At 48.2% G+C, this 18,557-nt stretch overlaps 1 protein-coding gene across 3 annotated transcripts in view, besides 4 other annotated features; it reads right to left on the bottom strand.

Annotated features, from left to right (window-relative positions):
* The window catches only part of FOXK2 (forkhead box K2), an 84,871-nt gene that overhangs the window by 51,072 nt on the left and 15,242 nt on the right, over positions 1-18,557 (bottom strand). The window lies entirely within an intron of this gene.
* Positions 15-186: a silencer, noted in NCBI's record as "fragment chr17:80511221-80511392 (GRCh37/hg19 assembly coordinates)". NCBI's record gives its function as "represses an EF-1alpha promoter that drives an FKBP-Casp9 reporter gene in an ReSE screen in HepG2 liver carcinoma cells {active_cell/tissue: HepG2}" and the evidence as "EXISTENCE:reporter gene assay evidence [ECO:0000049][PMID:32094911]".
* Positions 653-1,277: an enhancer, noted in NCBI's record as "H3K4me1 hESC enhancer chr17:80510130-80510754 (GRCh37/hg19 assembly coordinates)". NCBI's record gives its function as "activates a minimal SCP1, AML or CMV promoter by ChIP-STARR-seq in naive H9 embryonic stem cells {active_cell/tissue: H9 hESC(naive)}" and the evidence as "EXISTENCE:reporter gene assay evidence [ECO:0000049][PMID:30033119]".
* Positions 1,364-1,658: a silencer, noted in NCBI's record as "tiled region #7485; HepG2 Repressive DNase unmatched - State 5:Enh". NCBI's record gives its function as "represses a minimal TATA promoter and a strong SV40 promoter by Sharpr-MPRA in HepG2 cells {active_cell/tissue: HepG2}" and the evidence as "EXISTENCE:reporter gene assay evidence [ECO:0000049][PMID:27701403]".
* Positions 17,563-18,148: an enhancer, noted in NCBI's record as "H3K27ac-H3K4me1 hESC enhancer chr17:80493259-80493844 (GRCh37/hg19 assembly coordinates)". NCBI's record gives its function as "activates a minimal SCP1, AML or CMV promoter by ChIP-STARR-seq in naive H9 embryonic stem cells {active_cell/tissue: H9 hESC(naive)}" and the evidence as "EXISTENCE:reporter gene assay evidence [ECO:0000049][PMID:30033119]".

The raw sequence follows: 18,557 nt of genomic DNA, 5'->3' as shown, positions 1-18,557 counted from the left end.
TAACAAAAGCCCCTGCCATTCAAGCAGGTCATGTGTCCTTGACATGCAGAGGAGACAAGGCCAGGGCCAACACAGCTCAGGAGCAGCAGGTCTGGTCCCAGGCAGTCCCACTCTGAGAGGCAAGCACAGAAGAGCTGCCTTTGGCCTTGGCACCTGCCTGGGCTGTGGCCTCCAGGATGGCCCTGCTTCCCCCAGACTCCTGACGTCCTTTTCTGCCGTGACACAGATAACTCAGGCGACTCAGAAAAAATGCTCCATGGGTGAGCTCCTTTCTGCCTGTTTAAAAAACAAGTCTGGCTGGGCACGGTGGCTCACGCCTGTAATCCCAGCACTTTGGGAGGCCTTGGCAGGCAGATCACCTGAGCTCAGGAGTTCGAGATCAGCCTGGCCAACATAGTGAAACCCCATCTCTACTAAAAATACAAAAATCAGCCAGGTGTGGTGGCGCGTGACTGTAATCCCAGCTACTCCGGAGGCTGAGGCAGGAGAATCGCTTGAACTCAGGAGGCAGAGGTTGCAATGAGCCGAGATCATGTCACTGCACTGCAGCCTCGGCAACAGAGCAAGACTGTCTCCAAAAATAAAAAAGAAAGAAAATCTAACAAACTCTTTCCAGTCTGTGATTTTACGTAACGGGGTGACCTACAGAGCACCTCTCCGGTTTGGAGCCTTGCAGAGCACGCGGAGACGCTTGAGCAGAGTGGCTGCAGAGGTCACTCTGCACTCCAGAGCCCTGTTTGGGATGCTGCTCTTCAACCACCTCAGCCAAGTGCTCACAGCCAGCATCATTGTCCACGGCACAAAACGACACCAGGGTAACACGGCCATGGTGCCCTGAGAGGACACAACTTCACCTCTAGAGTTCCTGCCAAAGGTAACTAACCTAGATCTAATCAAGAGGAAACATCCAACAAATCCTAACTGAGGGACGTTCGACGAAATCACTAATGCTGTGCTCTTCAAAAATATCAATGTCACAGAAGACAAAGGCTGAGGATGGCCACACATAGAAGAGGATTAAAGCGACAGGAGGGTTCAGTGTGACACAGGGCCTATCAGTGAAGGGCAGGAGCGACGGTGGGTGAAGCCTGGAGAAGGTCGGCCATTAGGACACAGTTGCCATAGCAGTTCTCACCAGGGCAGGCACAGAAGAGGATGCCTGCAGGGAAAGCGTCACCTTTGCAACTGCCCCTCGAATGTTTAAGGAGAGGGAGAGAGACTGAACATGCGGGTTTGGTGAAACACTAACGGAGTGGGAATCTGGGAAAACGGAAGTTCTCTGTACTATTTTTGCAATTTTGCTTTAATTCTGAAGTAATTTCAAAAGAAAAAGAAAAACATTTGTAAGCCTTCAACATGTCCAATGCAAACCTCAACACTAGTCTAGGCCTGTGGCCAGGCTGGGAGCGTGTGCCTTGGTCCACCGCGAGGGGAGTGCGGACATGGAGAGTGTTTGGAAGCCACTTCATTTTTTGAATAATTTTATGGTGCCTCACACCCTGAGGACTCCACAAGGGGGAGCCCAGGGCCCAAGGCTGCCACCACCCAGAGTGCAGCAGGTGCTTCCCCACAGTCCAAGGACCTGCCCCAGAAAGGGGTGTGCAGGAGGTGGAGCACCGTGCCAGGCCCAGGAATGGGCTCCCCTGCCCCTCCTTGGAGGAGGTCTGAGTGGCAAGTGTCATCTTAAAGCACATAAATTACAAATAAACAGCTTGACAGAGCTGAAGACCGTTTAAGACAATGAGAAATACATTAGAAACCCTAAATAGCCCACACTTTGTCATCAGCAATAAACCTCAAGCAGCAACTATCACCTCAGCCTCAAATTTTTATGTTTTTTATTTTTATTTTTTAGATAGACTCGCTCTGTTGCCCAGGCTGGAATGCAGTGGCGTGATCTCAGCTCATTGCAACCTCCATCTCTCAAGTTCAAGTGAGTCTCCTGCCTCAGTTTCCCAAGTAGCTAAGACTACAAGCACATGTCCCCACACCTGGCTAATTTTTTGTAATTTTTTTTAGTACAGACAGGGTTTCACCATGATGGCCAGGCTGGTCTCAAACTCCTGACCTCAGGTGATCCACCCGCCTTGACCTCCCAAAGTGCTGGGATTGCAGGCATGAGCCACCGTGCCTGGCCAGCTTTAACTTCTTATCCTTCAAAACTCATGACATGCCATCATGTTTATTTTTATTTTTTTTTTAATTTTTTTTTTTGAGATGGAGTCTCGCTCTATCGCCCAGGCTGGAGTGCAGAGGTGCAATCTAAGCTCACTGCAAACTCCGCCTCCCAGGTTCACGCCATTCTCCTGCCTCAGCCTCCCGAGTAGCTAGGACTACAGGTGCCCGCCACCACGCCCGGCTAATTTTTTGGATTTTTAGTAGAGACGGGGTTTCACCGTGTTAGCCAGGATGGTCTCAGTCTCCTGAGCTTGTGATCCGCCCGCCTCGGCCTCCCAAAGTGCTGGGATGACAGGCGTGAGCCACCACTTCCGGCCTTTCAGCACAAATCTTCTAACCTAAGCCTCCGAAGCTTAAAACAGGCTTTGACACCTAACGACCCGGCTCAGTACTGGCTTGCAAGTGTCATCTTTCAGTGACGCACGCTTACTGCACGCAGTGCTTCACAGTGACTTAGAAACCACCTAGTTTTGACACAGAACTTTTCCATACAGACAAGGCCGGTTTCAGGCTTGTGTGGCCAGCACAGCTGCACAAAGCCCACCTCAGGGCCGGCGCCGTGGCCCACACCTGTCATCCCAGCACTTTGGGAGGCTGAGGCAGGCGGATCACAAGGTCAGAAGATCGAGACCATCCTGGCTAACATGGTGAAACCCTGTCTCTATTAAAAAATACAACAAAAATTAGCCGGGCGTGGTGGCGGGCGCCTGTAGTCCCAGCTACTCGGGAGGCTGAGGCAGGAGAATGGCGTGAACCCGGGAGGCGGAGCTTGTAGTGAGCCGAGATTGCGCCACTGCACTCCCGCCTGGGGGACAGAGCAAGACTCCATCTCAAAAAAAAAAAAAAAAAAGCCCGCCTCAGAAGGGCCAGGCATGGAGTTTAATGCCTTACTGCCAACATCTTGAAATCCCTAATCATTTATCTTTAAATTGGTGTTCTGTAGTGAAGTTCAATGGGACACAGCCCATCTTGCTCCTGCACCCCCTTCTTCCCCCACAACTGTCCAATGTCCCTGGTGGGGTGTGAACAGGGGTGCCTTGCTTCAGACACGTATTCCTGGGAAAGCTTGAAGTCAAGTGGCAAATTAAAAACACTATGGCAGGCCAGGAATCCACAGAAGACATAAAGAAGCTCTTTGTGTGTGTGTGTGTGTGTTTGTTTAGAGACAAGGTCTTGCAGTGTCGCCCAGGCTGGAAGGCAGTGGCACAATCATGGCTCACTGCAAGCCCAGGCTGAAGCAATCCTCCCGCCTCAGCCTCCTGAATAGCTGGGACTACAGGCACGTACCACCACACCTGCCTGTTTTGTTTTTGTAGAGATGGGGGTCTCACTGTATTTCTGAAGCTGGTCTCAAATTCCTGGGCTCAAGTGATGCACCCACCTCAATCTCCCAAAGTGCTGGCATTACAGGCATGAGCCACTGGGCCCGGCCTTTTCCTGCTTTCTCAACTACAGGTCCCATGTTTTCATTCTGCACTGGACCCCACATGTTATGAAGCTGGCTCTATATTCTAAGGTATAAATATTAGGAAATGGCGGATGTCCTCAGGCAGATCCGCTTCTGTAGGCACATATCAGGGAGGCTCGATTCCAGAAACATTCATAACCAGGAGGCTAGTGTTAGGTGTTCCAACAACGCATGTGATGAGCAGCTCTGTAAGTGGCTATCGAGCATCCAGAGTTTTCCTTTGGCTTGGAGAGTAATTTGGGGGGTTTTGGCCCCCATCTCCCATTTGCTGCACTGCAACTGTAATAAGGAGAGTAATTTGGGGGGTTTTGCCCCCCATCTCCCATTTGCTGCACTGCAACTGTAATAAGGAGAATAATTTTGGGGTTTTGGCCCCCCTCTCCCATTTGCTGCACTGTAACTGTAATAAGGAGAATAATTTTGGGGGTTTTGGCCCCTCTCCCATTTGCTGTACTGTAACTGTAATAAGGAGAATAATTTTGGGGGTTTGGCCCCCCTCTCCCATTTGCTGTACTGTAACTGTAATAAGGAGAATAATTTTGGGGGTTTTGGCCCCTCTCCCATTTGCTGCACTGTAACTGTGATAAGGAAGTTGCTGGACAGGGCTGCCAGGTCTGCAGTTCGGTGTGGCAACTTGGTGTTGGGGTAAAGGCTGGCTCAGGAGCACACACCCTCACACTTAAGATCCTCACACTCGGAGCTACAGGCAAGGGCCACACCCAGAAGAGGAGGGAGGTGGACTTCAAGTGGCCTCGTAAAACAAAGACACATTCTCCTATAATGTTCAGTCATTCGGGATGTGTTTTAGACTAAGGAAGATTTCCACTCCAGGTCCTGCCAGAGGCTGCTGTGAGAAACTATCACGCTGGTCCTCTCATCTGGATCACCAGACAACAGCTGGGGATCTTAGTGCAGATGGCAGGGTCAGGCTCTCTGGAGGTCTCACGGGTGGTGGCAGTGGAAAGTGCACAGCCCTCCTGTGCCGATGCATCGAGACGCAACCGCTCCTCGGAGGTGAGAATGCTCTTGAGATCATTCTACCCCACACCCGCCCAAATGACATTCACGTAAAACCAAAAAGGGCTCTCTGCCAAACACCCATGCCTCCCCCAGGGTGAGGTCACGGGAGAGGCTGTGGGACAGCGCCTGGGTCCTTTCCTTCCTCTATTCAGTCCACAGCAATTCCTTCTGCTAATTCAGCTGAGCAGTAGCCTCCAAATGCTTTTGACTGTACACCTCTAAGTGAAAAATTAAGTAGAAATCAATATTTGAATATATGAAATACAGTATCAACAAACAGGGCAAAGGATGGAATGGGAGAAAATATTCACAATACACCTATCTCACAAAGGACTTCTGTTCAGGGTATATAAACAAAGCTTAATATTCAGTAAGAAGGTAAACAACCCATTAAAAATGGTCATTCACTACAGATGACATAGAAATGGCCAAAAGCACATGTAGAGATGCTCAACAGCAAGGCAAATTAAACCACGGTTGATGTAAATGATCCAAAGTATTAAAAAAAAATACACATACTGACATACCACTACACACCCAGATAATGGCTAATATAAGAAGACTGACAAAACCAAGTGCTGACAAGGATATGGAGCAACTAGCTGTCACATACTGCCAGCAAGAATACAAACTGGTGCAACTGCTCTGGAAAAGTGGGTCAGCTTTTCTGTGAAATAAATGCACACTGACCACCTGGCCCCACCACTCGTACTTGTAGTTATCTGCCAAGAGAAGTGAGAGCACCAGTTCACACAAATGTGACTCCTACACAGACGTTCACAGCAGCGTGATGCACAGCAGCCCAGACTGGACACTGTCTAGACAGTCAGCCGTAGGTGAATGGATCCACAAATGGGGGTACATCCATAGAAGAGAATCCACTCAGCTGCCGCCCAGCAATCGCAAAGGAAAACTGCCCACACAAGTAACACTGATGAACCTCAAATATACCATGTGAATAAGAGCGAGCCAAACACCAGTATATTCTACATGATTCCATGTTTATGAAACCCTGGAAGAAAACACTTCTACGGGAGGGGAGGCACAGAGTTGAGTGTCTGGGACTCTCCAGGGGGATGAGGCTGACTGCCAAGGGGCAAGAGGAAGGTTTGGGGTGAGGGGTAATATCTGGATCTATTATTTTGATTGTGATTTCGGCTACATGGTGTATACAGCTGTCAAAACTCTTTGAAAGGTACCCTTAAGTTTGTTTTATGTGAAATATTCCTCAAAAAAAAGTTTAAAGTAAAAATAAGCTGGCAACAATATATTAATATATGTATAAATTATATTACAGTATTGCACACTGTAAAACAGAAAAATAGCAACTAAGCAGGATGAAAAAAATAACCAGAAGTATTATTTTTCTTCCTAAACTCTTAAAACAAGCTTGTCCAACCCACGGCCCGTGGGCTGCATGCAGCCCAGGATGGCTTTGAATGTGGCCCAATACAAATTCATAAACTTTCTTAAAACATTATGATTTTTGTGATTTTTTCAGCTTACCAGCTCTTGTTAGTGTAGACAATACTTTTTCCAATGTGGCCCAGGAAAGCCTAAAGACTGGACACCCTGAATGTAAAGTATCACCTTGATCACTTCCGGGGAACCACAATGGAGAACCACAATACTACAATGTGAACCACAATACTACACCCTGAATATTCTAAACACAGGGAGTATGATGCTTAAGGTTGTAGCTTTAAAATCAGTAGTAATAGACAGTATACACTATAAGAGAGATCAGTGTATTCTTTCTTTCTTTCTCCTTCCTTTTTTTTTTTTTTTGATGGAGTTTTTGCTCCTGTCGCCCAGGTTGGAGTGCAGTGGTGCCATCTCGGCTCACTGTGACCTCCACCTCCCGGGTTCAAGTGATTCTCCCACCTCAGCCTCCAGAGTAGCTGGGACTACAGGCACCCACCACCACGCCCGACTAATTTTGGTATTTTTAGTAGAGACGGGGTTTCACCATGTTGGGCGGGATGGTCTCAATCCCCTGACCTCAGGTGATCCATCTGCCTCGGCCTCCCAAAGTGCTGGGATTCCAGGTGTGAGCCACCGCACCCGGCCTGAGTTCTTTATTTAAAAGCGAGTTTTAGGTTGGGCTCAGTGGCTTACACCTATTATCCCTGAACTTGGGAGTCTGAGGTGGGAGGAACACTTGAGCCCAGGAGTTCAAGACCAGCCTGGGCAACATGGTGAGACCCCCGTCACCGTTTAAAAAAAAGGAAAAGAAAAGCGAGGTGTTACCTCTGTTTGACACTGGGACGCAGCACTTCACTCTTGGGGCACTCTACAGATTACCTCTCCCTCCACTCGGGACCTGCAGCGAAGAGCTCCTGCATGTGCACTCAGACTCCTAGCTTCCCCACCACACTTACAAGGCGAGCTGCACCGAGAGGTGAACATTTGTTAATGTGCAGGAAAGTATTTTTAATATACCACGCTGGCTGGGTGCAGTGGTTCATGCCTGCGATCCCAGCACTCTGGGAGGCCGAGGCAGGTGGATCACCTGAGGTCAGGAGTTTGAGACCAGCCTGGCCAACACGGCGAAATCCCGTCTCTACCAAAAATACAAAAATTAGGCGGGAGTGGTGGCAGGCACCTGTAATCCCAGCTCCTCAAGAGGCTGAGGCAGGAGAATTGTTTGAACCCAGGAGGCGGAGGTTGCTGTGAGCCAAGATGGCACCACTGCACTCCAGCCTGGGCGACCAAGCGAGACTCCATCTCAAAAAAAAAAAAAAAAAAAACCAACCATGCTTGGTAGCAAGTAAGCACATAGAAGGATCTTCAACATCATTAGTCATTAGGGAAATGCAAATTAAAACCACAATACCTGCTAAAATACCTAAAATAAAAAAGAGAGAAAATGTCAAAAGTTGAGGCAGCTCTGAGGCACCCTGAACTGGATCTCACACAGTGTAAATGGCTATGAACTGCACAAAGCGCTTTCCAACATGTTGGTAAGAAAGCTGAACACATCGGCCAAGCGCGGTGGCTCACGCCTGTAATCCCAGCACTTTGGGAGGCCAAGGCAAGTCGATCATGTGAGGTCAGGAGTTCTAGACCAGCCTGGCCAACATGGTGAAACCCCGTCTCTACTAAAAGTACAAAAATTAGCCAGGTGTGCTGGTGCGTACCTATAATCCCAGCCACTCAGGAGGCTGAGATAGGAGAATCGCTTGAACCTGGGACGCAGAGGTTGCAGTGAGCCAAGATCGTGCCACTGTACTCCAGCCTGGGAGACAGAGCAAGACTCTGTCTCAAAAGAAAAAAAAAAAAAAGCCTTCCAACAACAACAAAAAAAAGACTATAAGAATATTCACAACAGCATTATTCATAATAGCCCCAAATAAAATTACTTTAAATGTCTACCTATAGCAGAATATTGAATCGTTGTATATCCACGTTACTACTTTCCAGTAATGAGAATGGCCAATAGCTACGTGCAAAAATATGGACTAACCTCAGAAACACAGTATTCAATAAAAAACAAACACCGTCTCCTACAAAGGACTCTGTACAATTTCATGGATATGAAGTTCAAAAGCAAACAAAACTAATTTATGGTTTAGAATTCGGGATAGGAATTCCGAGCTGAGGAGTGGGAGGCCCTGGCTGGGAGAGGTGGATGCTGATGACGTCACGTCTTCACTAGAACAGACCGTACCAGTGGTTCTTACTGAGCTATACTTAGAATCTGTGCACTTTTCTGTGTCTAGATGATACTTTTACAAAGTGGAGAGGAATGGAGACCAACTAAGAAACCCCTCCAGAAGTCCAAGTGAGAAACCACTAGGTCAGCAGCAATGGGGAAGAAGGAAGAACAGATGACAGGTCCGAGAAAAGCTCAAGTAGGACAGACGGGGCAGATCGACAATTCTTTTTTTTTTTTAATTATTTTTTTCCATCTCCGTAAACGCAGAGCAACAGAGCACACCATGGAGAGGGTGCGCCCCCGGGACCTGGGTGGGCAGCACTGGCTCCCAAGAGGAAAGGGGGACAGACAGTAGCACTGCAGACACAGAGCTGGACGGAAGCCAGGTCCCAAAGCCACTGAGGACGGCCACCCGCCAGCACTTCACTCTGCACACCCCTCCCACAGCGACTTGCCTGGAGTCGCTCTATGCCCCATAAAGGTCCACAATCCCTTTTCCACAATTCCAGAAAGCAAAAAAGCTCCAAAAAATCTGACCTGAAATCATCTGGCAGCCAATTCTGACCTAAACTGAGAAAGAACTAATTATACCCTTCAATTAGCCCACTTAGTGAGAATATTCATGAGTTCAGCAACAGAAATGCTCACATGTTGGATGACGCAGTGCTGGGAATAAGAAATCATACCCAGTACACACGCTGTGCTACTGTTGTAAAATCCAGTCTGCTCTGATTCCAAAGCATCTCTGGGCCCACGGTTTTGGGTGGCGTGTGTGTGTGTACTGTACCAGCACAGTGCCATTTCCCTAGGACTTTCTCCACAAATATTCTAATTTAAGGGGAAGATTAGGTGGCTTACATAAAAAAAAGAATAAATCCATTTAACTACTGTCCAGAGAAGATGATCAATAAGTATTTTTGTTGTTGTCACTAACAGATGATAAATGCACATGGCATAAAATGTAAAAGCCAAAGAATTTTCAAAGTAAAAGCTTGGCCGGGCGCAGTGGCTCACGCCTATAATCCCAGAACTTTGGAAAGCCGAAGTGGGAGGATCAACTGAGCCCAGGAGTTCAAGACCAGCTTGTGCAACATAGTGAGACCTCATGTCTATAAAAAAAACAAAAAGCTTGGCTGGGCACGGTGGCTCACGCCTGTAATCCGAGCACTTTGGGAGGCTGAGGCGGGCGGATCACGAGGTCAGGAGATTGAGACCATCCTGGCTAACACAGTGAAACCCCATCTCTACTAAAAATACAAAAAATTAGCCAGGCGTGGTGGCGGGTGCCTGTAGTCCCAGCTGCTCGGGAGGCTGAGGCAGGAGAATGGCATGAACCCGGGAGGCGGAGCTTGCAATGAGCCAAGATTGCGCCACTGCACTCCAGCCTGGGTGACAGAAGAAGACTCCGTCTCAAAAAAAAAAAAAAAAAAAAGCTAAGCATGCTGGCGTGTAGTCCCAGCTACTTAGGAGGCTGCAGCAGCAGGATCACTTGAGGCCAGGAGTTCAAGGCTGCAGTGAGCCATGATCACACCACTGCACTCTAGCAAGACCCTGTCTCACTAAAAAATAAAAATAAAAGAAAGACTCTTCCCTATCATGGCCTTCCTACTGCTCCGGTTTCTCATGACCATTCTCAGAGCAGAGCCCAGAACTATTCAAACAAGCAAAGAGAAGCTGCCAGAAGAGGCAAAAGCTCTGGGCTCCAAGTGGGCAGCTGTGGTGGACCTCTGCTCAGCTCCTGGGTGTGGCACCCCCACAGCAGGTGCTCACACAACACTGAGCTATCAGTCTGCCCCTTAAAAGAAGCCTTCATTTAGATGCCAGAAGTTCTCACCTACGGCCTCCCCGGATAACATGAGCCCGGGAGTTCCAGGCTGCAGTGAGCTATGACTGCACCACTGACACTTCCAGCCTGGGTACCAGAGCAAGGCCCTATCTCTAAAACAACACAACACAATAAAAAAGGTATCTCAAAATATTCTGATAGCATGTCCAGTTTTATTTACTAAGCATTTAAAAATAGTTGTGGATTTAGATAACAGTTTTAAGACAAAAATCACAGTATCAAACGAAACCCCCACGTGGGAAATGTCCTCTGCTGAGGACCCACTGGCCACTCTGGCAACAGCACTGAAGAAGTTTAACTTATTCTACTTTTCCTTTCCAGGTAAATAACCTGTTAAGTACCAGGGACCATTCATTCGTTTATTCATTTATACAGGGTTTCACTCTGCAATCACGGCTCACTGCAGCCTCAACCTCCTGGGCTCAAGCAATTCTCTCACATCAGCCTCCTGAGTACCTGGGACTACAGGTGCGCACCACCACACCCAGCTAATTTTTTTTATTTTTTGTACAGACAGGGTCCTACTATGTTCCTTAGACTGGTCTCGAACTCCTGTCCTCAACTGATCCTCCTGCCTCAGTCTCCCAAAGTACTGGGCATGAGCCACTGCATCCAGCCCAGAGACTACTTTTAAAGCTGACCAAGCCCTTGGTAATACTGCTTTGGCCGCACTCTGCACCTGTCCTCTCCTGCCAGCAGGGTCCTCTGCTGTTTCTCCTATCAACACCAAAACTGCCCTTCTGCCGGGTGTGGCAGCTCACACCTGTAATCCCAGTAATTCACGGTTGGGAGGCCAAGGCAGGAAGATTGCTTGAGCCCAGGAGTACTAACTACACCAACCTGAGCAGGACAGTGACACCCTGTCTGTATAAAATAAAATAAAATAAAAAACTGGGGAAGGGCATGGTGGCTCACGTCTGTAATCCCAGCACTTTGGGAGGCCAGAGACGGGCGGATCACCTGAGTTCAGGAGTTCGAGACCAGCCTGGCCAACATGGTGAAATCCCGTCTCTACTAACAATACAAAAAGAATTAGCTGGGCCTGGTAGTGCGCACCTGTAATCCCAGCTACTCGGGAGGCTGAGGCAGGAGAATTGCCTGAACCCAGGAGGCGGAGGTTGCAGTGAGCCGAGATCGCACCATTGCACTCCAGCCTGGGCGACAAGAACGAAACTGTCTCAAAAAAAAAAAAAAGAAAGAAGAAAAAAAAAATTTGTGGAGGGAGGCTGAGGCAAGTGGATCACTTGAGGCCAGGAGTTCAAGACCACACTGGCCAACGTGGCGAAACCCTGTCTCTACCAAAAAATACAAACATAGCCAGGCGTGGTGGTGCATGCCTGTAATCCCAGCTACTAGGGTGGCTGAGGCAAAAGAATCACTTGAACCGGGAAGGTGGAGGTTGCAGTGAGCTGAGATTGTGTCACTGCACTCCAGCCTGGGAAACCGAATGAGACTCCATCTCAAAAAAAAAAAAAAATTTAATTAGCTGGATGCAGTGATTTGTGCCTCTAGTCCCTACTACTCAGGAGGCTGAGGTAAAGAGGATCCCTTGAGCCCAGAAATTCGAGGGAGCAGTGAGCCATGATCGCACCACTGCACTCCAGCCTGGGCAACAAAGTAAGACTCCATCTATTAAGAAAAAAATCACCCTTCCTACCTCTTGAAACAGGTACAATGCAGTTCACAGTGTGTTAAGTATGAAAAAAAAGTTATCAGTTTTCATTTGAGTGTCATATCTGATTGTCACACAAGTATCAATTTGTAATACACAGATACAAGTTAATACATTTAAAAATTTGGCCAGGCGTGGTGACTCACATCTGCAATCCCAGCACTTTGGGAGGCTGAGGCAGGAGGTCAGGAGTTCGAGACCAGCCTTGGCCAACATGGTTAAACCCCGTCTCTACTAAAAATACAAAAATTAGCCGGGCGTGATGGCGGGCGCCTGTAATCCCAGCTACTTGGGAGGCTGAGGCACGAGAATCACTTGAACCCAGGAGACGGAGGTTGCAGTGAGCCGAGATCGTGCCACTGCACTCCAGCCTGGGCGATACAGCACAACTCTGACTGAAAAAAAAAAAAACTGTAAATCATTAGTTATTTAGAATCTACAACTATTTTAAAATTCTAACTCCAGAAACCTGTCTATTTCAGGCCTACTTGTGCTTATACCACACCCTTTGTCCCTGTCCCTGCACGCCCCTGAGGTTGGCCCACTGACACCTATGCTAAAAGGTGAATCCATCAGCAGAACCAGAGAAGACGGAGCTGCTCACACAGGAATTTGCTTGGTCTCAAACACCCTCCAACCGCTGGGAGGGCCTACTCCAAGGACAATGAAGCAGCAGCCACACGCCACACACACCCACTGTGGACCCCTGTCTGAGAAAGATCACACTCCAAGCTATGCCACTGTCAGCCCCCGAAGGTGCCACTCCATTTCAAGCCAACACAGTATTAACACATAAAAAGGCTTTTCTGTTCAACAAGCCCAGGTGTGATGCGCTGGGAAAAAAATAATAAATGCTCACTTACTGATATGGGACCTCAGCTGTCAACCTTGTTAGTGGGCATAAAACAATTAGAGAATTCAAGACAGAATAAACTGCTAACTTGATAACTATTTGCTCCCTCCCTAGATGGCACTGAGAGACAGATATAGGGAAAGCATCTGAGCAGGAACCTTCACGGCTGGTCTTACAGGAGAGGCAGCTGCAGAGTAGCATCCAGTGGGCAGGCGTGTGGGAGGAAGGAAAGGGTTACGCCTGAGGGTGGGTGCTGGACTGGAGTGTGCCAACTCCAGGAGAAAAGACAGGGGCATGAGTAGACAAACCATCCCCAAGCATCCAGGCCAATGGGATGGCTACACAGGGGAAAGGGGGTATAGACATGGGATCACTGGAAAGGCTTCAAACAGATTACGTGCAGAAGGACGCATACCCACAAACAACAATCGTGCAGGAAGAATGGACATAAGACAGGGAAGTGAAAGTCATTAACACCAAAATCTCTTACCTCCAATTCTCCAAATCATTCAAGCGGTTGAGCCCATTCTGAAAGGTAACTCTTTTTTTTTTTTTTGAGACAGTTTCGCTCTTGTTGCCCAGGCTGGACTGCGATGGCATGACCTCGGCTCACCGCAATTTCCACCTCCCAGGTTCAAGCAATTCTCCTGCCTCAGCCTCCCAAGTAGCCAGGATTACAGGCATCCGCCATCACACTCGGCTAATTTTTGTATTTTTAGTAGAGACAGGTTTTCACCATATTGGCCAGGCTGGTCTTGAACTCCCGACCTCAGGTGATCCGCCTTCCTTGGCCTCCCAAAGTGCTGAGATTACAGGCGTGAGCCACCGCGTCCAACAAGCTCTTTCAATTATCGATATTTTTTTTTTTTTGAGATGGAGTCTCGCTGTGTCACCCAGGCTGGAGTGCAGTGGCATGATCCCAGCTCACTGCAACCTCCACCTCCCAGGTTTAAGAGATTCTCCTGCCTCTGCCTCTTGAGTAGCTGGGATTACAGGTGCCTGCCACCATGCCCAGCTAATTTTTTGTATTTTTAACGGAGACAGGGTTTCACCATGTTGGCCAGCCTGGTCTCGAACTCCTGACCTCAGGTGATCCAGTCACCTCAGCCTCCCAAAGTGTTGAGATTACAGGCGTGAGCCACCATGCCCGGCCCATTTACATATATTTTTTAATTAATTTTTTTTTTTAAAACAAGGTCTCGAGTGTTACCCAGACTGGAGTGCAGTGGTATGATCATGGCTCACTACAGCCTTGACTTCCTGGGTTCAAGCAATCCTCCCACCTCAGCCTCCAAAGTAGCTGGAATCACAGGCATGTGCCACCATACAGAGCTAATTGTTTCATTTTTTTTGTAGAGACAGGGTCCATCTATGTTGTCCAGGCTGGTCTCGAACTCCTGTCCTCAACTGATCCTCCCGCATCAGCTTCCCAAAGTGTTGAGACTACAGGCCTGAGCCACCACGCCCAGCCACCTTACAGTGCTGAGATTACAGGTCTGAGCCACCACGCCCGGCCACCTTACAGTGCTGAGATTACGGGCCTGAGCCACCACGCCCGGCCACCTTACAGTGCTGAGATTAGGGGTCTGAGCCACCACGCCCGGCCACCTTACAGTGCTGAGATTACGGGCCTGAGCCACCACGCCCGGCCACCTTACAGTGCTGAGATTACGGGTCTGAGCCACCACGCCCGGCCACCTTACAGTGCTGAGATGACAGGCCTGAGCCACCACGCCCGGCCACCTTACAGTTTTAAAAGCTTCAATACTTTTCTATTTCTCCCTCCCATTCTCATACCACATTTTCTACCTCAAAAAGAAATCCCATCACCTCTCAGTCTTAAACATTCCAAACGTGTTTTTCTTTCCACCAGAAGATAAACCAGGAGAGGAAGAAGAATCAAAATTCTGAAGGACTCTTCATCAATACTCTTCTAACTGTTTTGGAAGGAGATCTGGCTGGGGCAACCCATGCTGGGCTGAGTGGCTGTGAGCTGTGGGTATGGCGTAGGGTACAAGTCCCTTCTCTGGGCTGGGCCTCAGTGTTGTCCAAGGGGTGAGCCCCAGGCCTGCCCTGGGGCCAGAGGTGACAGTGAGGGGCTTGAGGAAGGGCCCGGCTGGAAAGATGCATCCTAAGTTTGGTGGGGTTCTTTTTCATTCCCTATAAAACACGGTGCAGAGCATTTTGCTCTTCTACACCATACATGATACACAGAAAAACCCCATGCGGCTCCTGTGGGGACTGTGTCCACCAGCAGAGGACAAGGGCATTCTTCTGTCTGCAACAACGAAGGCAAATGCGAGGACGGTAATTTTTCCTTTGACAAAATGAGCTTAATGTTGTTTTAATTGGAGACAGGATCTTGGTCTGTCACCCAGGTTGGAGCGCAGCGGCACGAGCATGGCTCACTACAGCCTCAACTTCCCGGGCTCAAGTGATCTTCCCATCTTAGCCTCCCAAGTGTCCAGGACTGGAGGAATGCACGACCACACCTAATTTTTAAATTTTTTGTAGAGAAAGAAGTCTCACTATGTTGGCCAGGCTGGTCTCGAACTCCTGGCCTCCAGCAATCCTCCCACCTCCCACCCGGCCTATATCTTTTTTTTCTTTTTTCAGACGGAGTCTTGCTCAGTCGCCCAGGCTGGAGTGCAATGGCACGATCTCGGCTCACTGCAACCTCTGCCTCTTGGGTTCAAACGATTCTCCTGTCTCAGCCTCCCAAGTAGCTGGGATTACAGGCACCGACCATCATGCCCAGCTAATTTTTGTATTTTTGTAGAGACAGGGTTTCACCATGTTGGCCAAGCTAGTCTCGAACTCCTGACCTCAAGCAATCCACCTGCCTCAGCCTCCAGAAGTGCTGGGATTACAGGTGAGAGCCACTGTGCCTGGCCACGGATTTTTTTTTTTTTTTTTTTGGAGACAGAGTCTCCATTGCCAGGCTGGAGTGCAGTGGTGCAATCTCAGCTCACTATAACCTCCACCTCCCAGGTTCAAGGGGTTCTCCTGCCTCAGCTTCCAGAGTAGCTGGGATTACAGGCGTGTACCACCACGCCCGGCTAATTTTTTTATTTTCAGTAGAGATGGGGTTTCCATGTTGGCCAGGATGGTCTCAATCTCTTGACCTCGTGACCTGCCCGCCTCGGCCTCCAAAAGTGTTGGCAAACAGGCATAAGCCACCGTGTGCCTGGCCTTTTTTTTTTTTTTTTTTTTTTTGAGATGGAGTCTCACTCTTGTCGCCCAGGCCGGAGTGCAGTGGCATGATCTCAGCTCACTGCAACTTCCACTTCCCAGGTTCAGGCAATTCTCCTGCCTTAGCCTCCTGAATAGCTGATTACAGGCACACACCACCATGCCCGGTTAATTTTTTGTATGCTGGCCAGGCTGGTCTCAAACTCCTGACCTCATGATCCGCCCACCTCAGCCTCCCAAAGTGCTGGGATTTCAGGCGTGAGCCACCGTGCCCGCCCGGCAATGGATAATTTTTCACATCCACTTTTACGGTCTAAATGTTCTACAAGAAGTATTATTTCACAATATTTTTAAATTTAATAATATGTTAAACTTTAATCATTTAAGAAAGACTATAAGCATCATACCAATTCAGTCAACAAGTATCTGAATTTCTCAGGAATAACCTTCCTAACATAATACCAGCAGCTCCAGCCCAGCATCCCACTCACTGGTCAGCTGGAGGCTGGCCCCCACCAACTGCCCAGGAGCTGAGTGGATCCAGCAGCAAGAACCTTCTACAACCAACCGCTAAGCTTTATATTCTATTCTTTTCCTAAACAATGTTTTCTAACCTTAAGTGCCTACCAGAAGCTGCTGGAGACCTCATTCAAAATGTATTGTGTGTGTCTGTTCTAATGTGTCTGGAGTCTGACTGACACAAGGCACTCCTCTTCTGTTTTGCCTAAGTCAGATCCAAGGCCAAAAAAAGCTTAAAAACATTTCAAACCCATTTAACTCTCAGATGCCTGGGGCAGAAGATTACAGTCCCAACATACAACAGACTGCCTAAGGCGAAAACCTGGGTGTGTTTCTGGGAAATCAGGACATTCAGAGGCCTCAGTGTGTGCTGGAAAATTCAGAAAGCTACACACATGCCCAGGGCAAAAGGCCCCCTCTGCGAAGACCTCCTCGGCCTCGAGCTTGCTTTCACTCTGGGCTGATCCCTAGGCCAAGGGCAAGCCCATCAAGAGTTCAAGGAGGGCTCAGGCACAGAGCCAGTTCGTAAAGACTGTAAGAGTTCCTGGCATTCAAGGAAATCTTTGTCAAAACACCAACTAAACACAAGCTGAGGAACAAGGACTTCAGTGACTACATAACGAAGGAAGATAGTCTGCAATAACAATAGCTTGGAAAAGTCGTTAAATAAAAGGGCCCCTATATCCTTTGGCAAGCAAAAAACCCCACCAAACCCAAGGAAAGGAGAAGAATCTGATTTCCAGAGCTACTGCGTTCTCATCATCACAGGTCCAGTTTGCAACAACAACAAAAATCACAAGGCACACAAAGAAACAGGAAAGTATGACTCAGTCAAAGAAATAAAAACTGACAGAAACTATTCTGGGGAAGGCCAGATGCTGGATTTGCTAGACAAAGACTTTGAAACAACTGCCTTAAATATGCTCAAAAACTTAAATAAAAACACAGGCCGGGCACCGTAGCTCACACCTGTAATCCCAGCACTTGGGGAGGCCGAGATGGGCAGATCACCTGAGGTGAGGAGTTTGAGACCAGCCTGGCCAACACGGTGAAACCCCATCTCTACTAAAAATACAAAAAAAATGCCAGGCACGGTGGTTCACACCTATAATCCCAGCACTTCGGGAGGCTGAGACAGGCGGATCACCTGAGGTTAGGAGTTCCAGACCCGCCTGACCAACATGGAGAAACCCCATCTCCACTAAATATACAAAATTACCTGGGCATGGTGGCGCATGCCTGTAATCCCAGCTACTCGGGAGGCTGAGGCGGGAGAATCGCTTGAACCAGAAGAGGTTTCAGTGAGCCCAGATCGCGCCACTGCACTCCAGCCTGGGCAACAAAAGTGAAACTCCATCTCAAAAAAAAAACAAAAACAAAAACACACAACTAAAAGAGATAAGGAAAACAACGTGTGTGTGAACCAAACAGGACTATCGACAGAGACAGCATAAAAAGGAACAAAACAGAAATCCTGGAGCTTTTAAAAGGTACAATGACAAACATGAAAAGCTCATGCTAGCAGTTCAATAGCACATCTGAGCAGGCACAAGAAGAATCAGGAAACTTGAAGATGGGAAGACTGAGATTCTGCTCCCGCAAGTCTCCTCAGAAAGGAGAAAGAACAAAGAAGACGAGCAGAGCCTAAAGGACCTGTGAGATGTCAGCTCACCAACCAACCATGGAAGTTTGAAATGGGCAGAAAGAATGTCTGAAAAAATAATGGCCAAAACCTTTTCGAGTTTAATGAAAGACAAAAATTTTACAAATCCAAGAAGCTCAACAAACTCCAAGTAGGATAAACTCACAGGACCCAAAATGAAACACATTTTAATCAGTGTTGAAAGCCAAAAGACAAAAAAAGAGAGAATCTTGACAGCAGCAAGAGATAAGCGACTGGATAACTGTTAACAGCTGACTTCTCATCAGAAATCACGAAGGCCAAGGCCGGGCACGGTGGCTTACACCTGTAATCCCAGCACTTTAGGAGGCTGAGGCAGGTGGATAAGCTGAGGTCAGGAGTTCGAGACCAGCCTAACCAACATGTGGAAACCCCATCTGTACAAAAAATACAAAAATCAGCCAGGTGTGGTGGCAGGCATCTGTAATCCCAGCTACTCCTAAGGCTGAGGCAGGAGAATCGCTTAAACC

Source organism: Homo sapiens, chromosome 17, assembly GCF_000001405.40.
Source record: "Homo sapiens chromosome 17, GRCh38.p14 Primary Assembly".
Taxonomy (NCBI): Eukaryota; Metazoa; Chordata; class Mammalia; order Primates; family Hominidae; genus Homo; species Homo sapiens.
Note: the sequence above shows the minus strand (reverse complement) of the source record. Positions and strands in the feature narration are given on the sequence as shown.